Consider the following 12464-nt stretch of genomic DNA (forward strand, 5'->3'; position numbering starts at 1 on the left):
CGGATTCATCTGGGTTGCACGTTCTGTTAAGTTGACCAGACAGTGCCATCTCACCAAGACTTGCCTCTTACTCCCAAATAAATACTGAAGCATCTTGACAAGTAGGCACATAGTTCACTTCCTTTCTATCTGGACAGATGGCCACAGACAATTTTAACATGTGATTTTACCTAGAAGTGAAGAGGTGTCCACATGTCCTTAGAGAGTTGCACAGATGATTCCAAAGACAGAACTGCCATGGGATTCAGAGATGGGAAATGTCACAAGGAAAAGTAGACATTGACCAGACGACATGGTTTTTCTGATGCTTGTTTGAGCCCACAATATGTTGGCATCATGTTATTCCTCCTAAAGAGAGTAATTTCTACAAATATTTAAATGACTGAAATAATATCATCTTCCAAATTCTCCATGGAGAAAAGAATCAAGCACGAAATGCCCCCTGCCTTGTACATCTCAATTGTATTCTCCAATAGGAGATTTTTCCTGCTGTGTAGCCATCAGTGTGCGTGCCTCATAATGGGAATTAACACCTGCAAATGCCTGCCAAGTAATAAACATCATGATGTTATTATATTCTAAAGAAATTGGCCTTCATAAATCACGTAAGTTCAATGATGCGTCAACACATTTGAATTAATCATAGATGATACCAGTACGATAGGGCTCTCCTTATCCATGGTTTCATGTTGTGCAGTTTCAGTTACCCAGAAACAATTCATAACTTTAAAATTGCACAGTGTTCTGAGAAGTGTGATGAAATCTCATGGCATCCTGCTCCTACCTGCCGAGGACGTGAATCATCCTTTTGTCTAGCATATCCACGCTGTATACAGTCCCCACCCATTACTCACTCAGTAGCTGTTTATCAGATTCACTGTAGAGTTATCGCAGAGCTTATGTTCAAGTAACCCTTAATTTACTACATAATGTCCCCAAAGCACAAGACTAGTGATGCTGCCATATTATTATAATTGTTCTAGTTTAACCTTAGTTATTATTATTAATCTCTTACTGTGCCTAACTGATAAATTAAACCTTGTCATAAGTATATATCTATAGAAAAAAAAACATAGTACATACAGGGTTCCATACCATCCACAGTTTCAGGCACCCTGTAGGGGCCTTGGGATGTTTTCCCCGTGGATAAGGGGAGACTACTTATTCTTTTTGATAAAATGTGCATATGAAACAAGAACTGCAAGAACAAATGGGTAACTATGCAGGGTACCTCCTGGTCTCGGTACAGAAAAAGTAACATATGGCTTTAAGCAAGGGTTTTCTTGATAAAAATTAAAATATCAGGTGCAATTGTTAACATTTTGAAAAATTTTAAATGCCTCACCCACCTTCATTCTCTTAGCACCTATATCCATTCTGCCTCACTTTTTGACCCTTTCAATATATGGAAACAATGTACTACACTAAATTCCAGGTTTTAGCAGTTAAAAATCACTGAGAAAAACAGAAGGAGAGGTCTTACCACTGTTCTACTTACTACAACTCTCTCTGGATATCTCAGAGATGTGTTTGTGTTTCTTGGGTGGGAGAAGCACGTTGGTTAGCACAAGATTTGACAAATGTAATTTTCCATCCCACTGAATGAATTTTGTCCATCTTAAGATGACATCTTAAAGGACAAAATTTGAGGATTACTTTTTTGCAATTTGAATAATTTACACTATGTTTCTAAAACACTTGGTACAAATTCAAATCTTTTCCTTATGAAGCATAACTGATATCACCTACAAAATAAGGTCAGATTTTCTTTATTACTGAAGTTAAAATTGCTTCAAACTGTTGTCTAAGTTAATCATAAGAGTCCTTCTCCTCTTCCCAGGGTCACCCTCCCTGAAAATTCCAAGGCCTCATGCCCTTGACACCTGTCAATCATTTCTTGAGGCTCTTTCCAACAGTTTGGGCTGGAATTCAGGTGTAGCCCTTTAAGGCTGGGGAGCCTCACTAACAGCCAGGCTGCTACTTATTCTCATAATTCCTGTAGCACATGCCTTGGAGTTCTTAACCATAATATAACAGGACAGGAGGTGTCGAGTGGTGCCACCACTACTGCCATGTGGAGAATATTCCATGTGCCATGGTTGTGGGTGCATGTTCCTAGAGTCTCTCAGATAACAGGTGGCAAGAATGAGGGGTCTCTCTTGCTCCTCAGATTTGGATTCACCAGTGGTCATTTCATGCCACCAAAAGTCTGCAATCCAGTCTTTCAGTTTCTTGGTTCGTACTCACAGGCCACACAAAGCTGCCCAATGGTATAATTTTGGCTAAATCAGGAAAGATTCCCAGCCTCAGCTGCAGGCTGTGCCTACACCTCAAGTCTTCCAGGACCACTTGATCTGGACATTAAGCCCAGAAGACTGCGTGTTCTGCCCTGCCAGCTGAGTACAAGTGCAGATTTCATAATGCATTGCTGATAATCTAACAAAATTTGATTGCCAAAGGGAAGGGTTTGTGGTTTCCATCAATTTTCTCCTGAGGGCCTAGTTTTTGTCTTATTATGAACAATGATCCACTCCTTCTAAAACAGAATTCCAGTTTTATAACCTTAAGAACGTTAATTGAGAGGCAAACAGGCTTGTTGGTCAACTTTTAAAAAGATGTCCTATTATAACCTTTCTGTAGGTTATTGGGTGCTGCCTTGCTGCATAGATTCATAACTTAACTCTGTCTTCCCAGAACACAGGCGAGCAGCTCCAAGGTAGCTTGTGGTCTTCAGGGCACTTCAATATCAAGAGAACAAGAAAAAAATTAGTAAACATAAATCTAAAGTAGGGATTTTACCACCTTTTTCAGATTTTTTTTTTTACATTAAAACGTTCTTAAAATATTTGGAACATAAGAAGAGGTTTTTCATACTCCAGGATCACAGTCATGTAAATAAAAAGGCAAGTAACACATTATTTGAAAACCCATCCATCCTCCTACCAGAGCAGAAAACTGAGTTCAGAAAAATTGAACTAAGGCCTTTGAAACTGGGCAACCCAGCATTTCCTGGACCATAGCAGGCATACAAGAAACATTGCTGATTAAAGAACAACTGTAGAAATCCATGTTATTTGGTGAAAGAGCTAGATCAGTGGGCCAGGCTTTCATTGCTGGCAAGAGACTTCTCAGGAGGGTGAGTGTTTGCTTCTTCCGTCTACTAGGGTTCCATCTATGTAGGTTTAATCCTAAAAATAACAACTTCCTTTTTCTTTCAGCATCCCTCCCTGCAGTGGTCCTTTCCTACAGATCAGGAGGACCAGATCACCTGTCAGTGCTCTTGTGGCCTCATAAAGAATAATCCTGCGTGCTCCTTGGTCACTCTTGAGATGATGGAGGCTGTAACCCTGCTGACTTAGTCTTGGTCTCTTGGATTACATATATCAAGGATAAGGAGCTTTTATTTTTGAGGGTTAGCTGTGGTCACTGCATGCCACCACTGGTCTGAAATGCAGCCCTATTCTGCTTTATTTAACTTTCATAGGCCCAGCCATAGGCTCATTGAGCAAGGTTGACTAGGTCAGGATTGGTTTCCAGCCTCCACTGTAGGCTGTGTCCAGAATTGCCTGTTCCTGGATCACTTGACCTTGACATTGATCTTTTGTCACAGGCTTCCCTCTCCTTCGCGACCAATACCCCTCAGTAAGAATTGGGATTGTCTTCTGTCAGATGAGCTCAGCCAGGGCCTTTTTAACCTATCAGAGAGCACTGAATAGCACTGATTCCCAAAGGAGGAGGAATTGAGTTCTCAATCTTTTTCCTCCTAGAAGACTAAATATTTCCTTATTAAAATCTCCACTTCTCCTGGAGCCACACACCATTTTCACAAAACAAGGAATAACTGAGGATTCCATGACAAATGAAAATATTGCCTTGTTATATACTTCCCCTAGGATATTGTGTGTGTTGTTTTTTAAAAAATAGAACCATAACGAGAAGCGTCTCAAGTCGATATTTCCAGAGCAAAGTCTGTCTGCTCCAAGATGCCTTGCCATCTCCTCCACGAGGCCAAGCAGTCCCTGGCAACATTCTTGGAAAACAACGTTTAAAAAGACACACACACAAAAAAAAAAAAGTTCTGCTTGTTGAATATCCCAATGTAAAGTGTGATATTTCAAAACTCCTTTTATTTGCTGCATATGTCAAACTAAGTTTGCTTAATTTCCTGTCTTGTCTTGCCTAAAACATGAATCTACATGAGACTATATCCTTTCTCTTATCTCCTTTTCTTTCCTTCTGTCTTCACTGTCCTAATTTTGTCCGATTCTTATTACTCTTGCTAAATTTTTCATTGGCAGTCTGCTTACTGAATATCTCAATGTTGAGAGGTGGGGGTGGTGACAAACTAGGATATGGAATTGTTATCATTAGCAAATAGCAATCATCTCAAGGGTATTAGTTCTTTTTTGACATAAAAAACACAAACTGAGCTGGGCACAGTGGCTCATGCTTATAATCCCAGCACTTTGGGAGGCTGAGACAGGAGAACAGCTTGAGCCCAGGAATTTGAGACTAGCCTAGGAAACATGGCAAAACACAATCTCTACAAAAAAAATTTTTTAAAATTAGCTGGCTGTGGTGGTGTGCACCTGTGGTCCCAGCTACTCAGGAGTCTGAGGTGGGACAATCACTTGAGCCCGGGAGGTTGAGGCTGCAGTGAGCTGAGATTGCACCACTTCACTGCAGCCTGGGCAACACAGTGAGATGCTGTCCAAAACAAACAAACAAACAAACAAACAAAAAAACCCCACAAACTAATAGCCCAAAAATGTGTCCTCTCTCCTGAATTTATTCCATTTATTCCTATTAAATAAAATAATTAAAATAAGAAGAAAATAAGATAGAATAAAGAAAAAACTGTGGGTACATGATAGCATCTAAACTTCTGTTAGTTGGTCAAACCCATTGCCAAATATAACAATCACTGTCTGTAACCTCAAGATCTCTCTGGCCGCCCTGTAATCTCAGAACTTTGGGAGGCCAAGGTGGGAGGATCCCTTGAGTTTAGAAATTCAAGACTCGGTCTGAGACTGAGCAACACAGTGGGACACTGTCTCTACAAAATGTTTAAGAAATTAGCCAGGCATGGTGGCACACATATGTGGTCCCAGCTACTTGTGAGGCTGAGGTGGGAGGATCACTTAAAACTGGGAAGTCAAGGCTGCAGTGAGCTGTGATGGTGCCACTACATTCCAACCCGGGCAACACAGCAAGACCCTGCCTCAAAAAAAAAAAAAAAAAAAAAAAAAAAGATCTCTTGGCTGTGAGCAGAATTGAAAAAGTAAACAAGTACGTTTTTCTATTTTTATTTCAGGGTGTACTATTTTTGGGAGTCACCAGAAATTTAATTTCAAATGTTCAATATAATGGTAGATTACTACAGACTAATATAGTATTATCTCTGAATACAATTATGCTTTAATTAATTAAAAGTTCATTTTTCTAATAATTTAGAAAAGTGATTATTGCCAAACTTTACATAACAAGAAAAATACAACATCTTCTTTAGGAAGATTAACAATTACTGAGTTTTCCCTTCCTAGGATTTGTCTTGACAATAAAATCTAGTTAGCAGCAAACTTTTTGCTAAACAATATAATTTAATGAGGCTCAAAGAGCAGAAAATTAAATCATTTACACCAAATAGGTCTTTCAGTAGTAAGACAAAGCTTATTTTGTGAGCTCGTCATCTAAAAATGTGTCTATAAATGACATGAGTGCTTGTTTGTACTGCCAACTTGGCACTTTAAACAGGAAGGTTTGCGTCTGTGATGTAATAGTTAAAAACTATTCTATAGTCCAAATTGCTTATGGGAGGTTTCCAGCAGAACTAAGCGATGTGACATTTTTTGCAGCTAAAAACCATATTCATAGAGCTGTGTATTCATTTTATTTGCTTTCTCTTGACCTCAGGCTGTGGAAAAATAAGTGCAAACCTCATGTTATCATAAGGTAACTGCTATTTATTGACTGCTTACCATATATATGGGTATGTATCTATATGTACTGATATATATGAGCACAGAAACAATGACAGAGAGGATTCAGAAGCTGGAAACACACAGCACATAGTGAGTCCAGAAATCATTGTGTCCCCAAGGTTTCTGCTTCATAAAACTGCTGCCTCTTGTATTGTTAGTTCAGGTCAGAGTATGTGCACTAATGTGTCAATGACATAAGTACATTTATTTCTAAAAATCATTTTCCATGGACTTAAATTCAGCCTCTCCAATCTCCCCTTAAAATAATTTATCTTTCATATCGAAAACAAAATCTGTTTCTTAGCCTTCATTTTTGTTTATTTTAATATGCATATTTCTAATCCCTTTAGTGTCTCAGAATTTTGTTTTCAGCCGTGTGCGGTGGCTCAAGCCTGTAATATCAGCATTTTGGGGAGGCTGAGGCAGGTGGGTCACTCGAGGCCAGGAGTTCCAGACCAGCCTGGCTAACATGGTAAAACACTATCTCTGTAAAAACAACAAAAACTCAGCTGGGTATGGTGGCACATGCCTGTAATCTCAGCTACTAAGGAGGCTGAGGCACAAGAATCGCTTGAACCTGGGAGGCGGAAGTTGCAGTGAGCCAAGATCGCACCACTGCACTCCATCCTGGGTGACAGAGCGAGACTGTCAAAAAAAAAAAAAAAAAGAATTTTGGTTTCATGATTGTAGTCATTTTTAGGATAAAGAAATTATTTATAATTTTAAGATATTTATATGTTATGTAGTTTCTCTCTCAGGAAGAATAACAAATTCTTATTTTTTTATTCTGAAAATCTGGTTTCTTTTTCCAAATTTTATCCTTGGGTACCTTGGTTTCCTGCCGACACAATAATAGAAGCACTTCAATTTCTCTGAGCTGCCACAATTTAAGTAAAGCTATTACAGATTTTATTATATTCCATAGGAAAAAAAATAAGGCTGTTAACATTCTCTCGATTGTTGTTACAATTTATAAAAAGGTCAGTGAAATGGCACTGTAAAAATGCTCTCACCTTCTGCCATAGGCAAGAAACTTCCATGGTGGAAACTTCTGTTGGCTTCATTGCAGATCCTGACTCACTCAGTGTAAATGCCACTTCCAAATGGGTTGTCACTGGTTAATTTGGATTCTCTTGCTCCTTGACAATGCTTTAAATGGCTCCTTTCTCTCTATTACTGCAATTGTCTGTTTAAACCTTTGGCATTTTAACCTTTTAAAAAATATGTGTCTTTTGTATACATCTTCAGAAAAATAGGAACTGGTCATTCACTTTCTCCATCCCAGCAGTTTCTGCGGATTGGTGTTGGGCTTCAATCAGGTTAGGATACAATAAAAGGGATTTTTTTTAACTTTTATTTTAAGTTGAGGGGTACATGCGCAGGATGTGCAGGTTTGTTACATAGGTAAACATGTGTCATGAGGGGTTGTTGTACAGATTATTTCATTACCCAGGTATTAAACCTAGTATCCATCAGTTATTTTTCCTGATTCTCTCCCTCCTCCTACCCTCTACCCTGTGATAAGCCCCAGTATGTGCTGTTCCCCTCTGTGTGTCCATATGTTCTCATCATTTAGCTCCCACAGTTTGGGGTTTTACATTTAAGTCTTTAATCCATCTTGAGTTATATTTTGTACATGGCATAAGGAAGTGGTCCAGTTTCAATTTTCTGCCTATCCCAGCACTATCTATTGAATTTACTGAATCCTTTCCTCATTGCTTGTTTTCATCAAATTTGTCAAAGATCAGATAGTGGTAGGTGTGTGGTCTTATTTCTGGGTTCTCTATTCTGTTCCATTGGTCTGTGTGTCCTTGTACCAGTACCATGATGTTTTGGTTACTGTAGCCTTGTAGTATAGTTTGAAGTCAGACAGTGTGATGCCTCCAGCTTTGTTCTTTTTGGTTAGGATTGCCTTGGCTATTCAGGCTTTTTTGGTTCCATGTAAATTTTATTTTTTATTTATTTATTTTTTTGAGACAGAGTCTCACTCTGTTGCCCAGGCTGGAGCGCAGTGGCATGATCTCAGCTCACTGCAACCTCTGCCTCCTAGGTTCAAGCGATTCTCCTGCCTCAACCTCCCGAGTAGCTGGGATTACAGGTGCATGCCACCACGCCTGGCTAATTTTTGTATTTTTAGTAGAGATGGGTTTTTGCCATTTTGGCCAGGCTGATCTCAAACTCCTTACCTCAAGTGACCTGCCAACCTCAGCCTCCCAAAGTGCTGGCATTACAGGCATGAGCCACTACACCTGGCTTTGTTCCCTATGAATTTTTTAATAGTTTTTTTTAGTTCTGTGAAGAATGTCAATGGTAGTTTAATGGGAATACCATTGTACCTATAAATTGCTTTGGGCAGTATGGCCATTTTCACAATGTCGATTCTTCCTATCCATGAGCATGAAATGTTTTTCCATTTGTTTGTGTCATCTCTGATTTCTTTGAGCAGTGGTTTGTAGTTCTCCTTGTAGAGATCTTTCTCTTTCCTTGTTAGCTGTATTCTTAGGTATTTTATTCTTTTTGTGGCAATTGTGAATGGGAGTTGGTTCATGATTTGGCTCTCAGCTTGACTGTTGTTGGTGTATGGGAATGCTAGCGATTTTTCCACATTGATTTTGTATCCTGAGACTTTGCTGAAGTTGCTTACCAGTTTAAGAAGCTTTTGGGCTGAGATAGTATGGTTTTCTAGATATAGGATCATGTCAACTGTAAATAGGGATAGTTTGACTTCCTCTCTTCCTATTTGAATGCCTTTATTTATTTCTCTTGCCTGATTGCCCTGGCCAGAACTTCCAATAATATGTTGAATAGGAGTTGTAAGAGAGGGCGTCTTTGGCTTATGCTGGTTTTCAAAGGGAACGCTTCTGGCTTTTGCCCATTCAGTATGATGGTGGCTGTGGGTTTGTCAAATATGGCTAATAAAAGAGAATTAAATCAATCCTCATCCAGTGCCTTCACATTGGACTTGGGGGTAGGAGAAATTCAGTTGATCCTCACTGCTCTTTTTTCTTCTCTGACTTTCTCCATTCTCACCTCCAAATAATGAAGAATGTCCTATCATGTCAAGTTTGCCTTTGTGTTATTACCGCTCTTGATGATTTTTTTTAATGTTTTGCTTCTTTTGAAACTGAATTCCAACAACTACTTGTGACATTTGCTCTTTCCTCTTAAGGAGTTCTGATGAGGGCTGAGGGAGTTGAGTTCCTAGGGGTGGTATGGACTCGTCAAAGTTTAATCAGATCCTCCCTGGACCAGAGGCCTTGTTACTGATGGAAGGAGACTTGTAGTGTCCTCCTCTCCAAATCCATTCTCCTCGCCACTCCCCCTCACCAAATGCATTCTCCTCTTCTTCCAGGGCATCATCTAGAAACTAAATGTTATAGCCACCCTTGCAGTTAATGGTGGCCATGCCATGTGACTCAATTTCTTACTGATGGAATGTAAGCAGAAGCGATGGATGCAACTTCTGCTTCACTTGTTAATAGGAAATGATTTTCCCTGGACTTGCTCTGTTACTTCTCATGCTAACTGGACACAGACATGCCTGAAATGCAGCTTCTGCTTTCCACACAAGCTGGTGCCCTGGAAAAAGAAGGAAGATGATGGAAGCAACCTATGTCCCTGAATGACCACATATGACCACATATAGCAGAGCTGCCCTATAGCCTCTCAATCAGCTACTGTTGCATGAGAGAGAAGTAAGCTTCAGTCTGCTGCAAGCCACTCTATATATTGTATATTTGGGATGTTTTTATTCAGCAGCTTAGCCTGTACTCCTGTTGTTCCTCTGAACCAGGACAGATTTATTCCTTTTCTGCCCATATTATACCATGGGGTGTGGATAATGCCCTGTGGATGTGGGAAGAAAAGTACATCTCTGCTGGCCCCTACTAAAATCATTCCACACACAATCCATCTAATCAATATTTAATGAGCTCATGCCTTGTACAGCACTCTGGGCTAGGCATTGTGTGAGAAATAATAGCAGCTTTGCTTCTTAGAAAAAATAAGAAATCACACCCAGCAGGAGAAATCATAAGAGATCTATAAAAAAAGGTGCAGTGGTGGCTGTGGGTCTTATGTATGTGAAGGATTTCACAAATGGAGATGAAGAAATGGAAATTCTCAGCAAGAGAGGAGGATTTACTAGCAAAGAGGAAAAAAAAAAACTTCAGCTTGGCTATAGTATGATGGGCATGATGAGAAAATAGGAGATAAAACCTAAAATGTATAGTTGGAGGCCATTTTTAAAGAAGCATCAGACCAAGAAGACAGGCCTGGGCAAAGTGTGGAGGTTTTAGCTAAAGGATTAAAAATCTGTTTCCAAGTCTTATAATTCAGCTAGGCCTAGACAAAAGCTCTTTTTGCATTTTACTTGAAATGACTTTTGTTGCTGCTTCCTAACAAGTGAGAGCATTAATTTAGTGAATTGCTTTGAAGATAGGAGACACTTTATAAATATTGAGAGTAAAGTATTAATTTTAATCTCATAGCTACCATAGACCATGCCACTGAGTTACTTTGGTAATCCTATGAGAATGCCAACTTTTTTCACACCAATTTTCTAATCCAATCAGTAGTGGAAATGCCAAACTAATTGAAATGTATTTAGAACTACATGATTTCTAAATTTGTGCATGTAATGTTTGTTTTTCTTTCATTAGTCATACTATCAAATCAAAATGCATACCTACATGCTTTTAAACTCGCATACTTGATTTTCCAGATTGCATTTTTTCAAATGTAAGTAAGAGGAATGCTCATATTTCTTGTCTGTGTTTGGGTTACACTCTTAATGGTGATGGTTTCTTTACCACTTGCCCAAACTAAATCATTATTCTCTATTATTCCAAGAAAGTAGTGTTGATGGGTGGGGATTTCAAGCACACCTAGCATAAGATCCATAAGATTTTTTTTTTGCCTGAGTTACTGCACAACAATGAGAAGTATAAATGCATAAGTCAAGCTTCCACTGATCATGTTAACAGTATTATCAGGAAGTGATGCCTCGTTACAAAATTTTATTTAAGGACTACTCTTACTTCTGGAAGCAAAATTTCTTCCAAATTAATTAACTTGTGCCAATAAATTATCATAATTAAAGAGTGGGAAAATCTACAGAAAATTTAGATAGATAGAGATGATAGAGATACAGATAGAAAGACAGCTTTTTTTCTGAATTGCATATATGCTCAGTGTGGTCAGAGATATGACATCTCCCCCATCATCCCTGTCACCCCCCTCTTGAAAACTGTACACCCAATCTATTATTCTGGAAGTATAGAATTTAACGAATCATAATGTTAAAAATCACCAGTGTGTTTCCCAGGGAAAAAGCCAGTACTACTACTATATTTTGTTGTTTTTATTAACTCACTTGGTTTTAATTATTTTTCAAAAACTCATATTCCTAATGCCTCACCTAACTATGCGATATTAGATCTCATTTATGCTTCTGCATACACCTTTGACATTGCCCTTGGAAATATCCCAATTTTTATCTTACTACAGAAAAAAGTCACTATCCCTCCCCACTACTTTCTTAAGCTAGTCTACCATTCTACTTAGACTATTATGCTGGAATACTATTATTCTATTTAGACTATCAGGCTAATCATCAAGTATAATTCATTATTGTTTTCATTAGCTAATTTTAGGTAATTTTGTAACCCTACAAATTCTCTTGAAACAAAGTCCCTATGTGCATATCTATCAATACAGAATCAGCTCCCTGGTAGAAACCACTGTGACAGGCGTTGTCAAATAGTTTTTCTTTGCTCCAGGGCAGCCTGGAAGAATAAATTTTAAATTTGTTTTTCTTTCTAAATGACTTAACTCCTGGATTTTGCATAACAATATCTGCTAAAAAGTAATCTGACATTATCTGTTTATTATCTTTCTTTCTCTACTAGAATGTAAGCTTTCTAAAAACAAGGATTTTTTTTTCCACCGCTGTGTGCTTAGCACCTAGAAAATTGTCTGAGACATAGTTGAAACTCAGGAAATATCTGTTGAATTAATGAATAGATATGAAACGATATGAAAAGCAGAAGATATTTATCTGGGTCAAGAAGAGACACAGGATAGGGCCTTCAGAGTCTGCTAAATTCCTAGGATGTTATCCTAGGCGAAAATGAAGGAGGCCAAGTTTCCTATAGTGCTTCCACTTTCCATTGGTGCACCTCTCTGCCCAGACTCCCAGGGCTCTGACTCTGCTGTCTGGAGGAAAACAGTCTCACAAAGAAATAATTAATTAGCTGTCAATTCAGTGAATAATTATCAAGCACTGGTCATGTGTCCCAGGCATTACACTAGGTCCTAGAGTTGAAAATAATAATAACAAGATAGGGACTCTGCTCATCATCTGGTGATAAGTGCTAGGAGCATAGAAAGGAAAACAATTACAAGCCTACTGCCTTGTCATGGGAACACTCAAGCTACCATGTGCAGACACTCACGTGATAAGGAACTGATGCCTCCTGGCAA

General features: G+C 38.8%; 2 annotated features.

Annotated features, from left to right (window-relative positions):
- Nucleotides 211–1410: an enhancer, noted in NCBI's record as "CDK7 strongly-dependent group 2 enhancer chr8:87014581-87015780 (GRCh37/hg19 assembly coordinates)". NCBI's record gives its function as "activates an origin of replication core promoter dependent on BRD2, BRD4, P300/CBP, MED14 and CDK7 cofactors, with strong dependence on CDK7, by STARR-seq in HCT116 cells {active_cell/tissue: HCT116}" and the evidence as "EXISTENCE:reporter gene assay evidence [ECO:0000049][PMID:35650434]".
- Nucleotides 705–905: a silencer, noted in NCBI's record as "peak7095 fragment used in MPRA reporter construct". NCBI's record gives its function as "represses an SCP1 promoter by STARR-seq MPRAs in K562 erythroleukemia cells {active_cell/tissue: K562}" and the evidence as "EXISTENCE:reporter gene assay evidence [ECO:0000049][PMID:32103011]".

This window comes from Homo sapiens, chromosome 8 (genome assembly GCF_000001405.40).
Source record: "Homo sapiens chromosome 8, GRCh38.p14 Primary Assembly".
In the NCBI taxonomy this organism is placed as follows: Eukaryota; Metazoa; Chordata; class Mammalia; order Primates; family Hominidae; genus Homo; species Homo sapiens.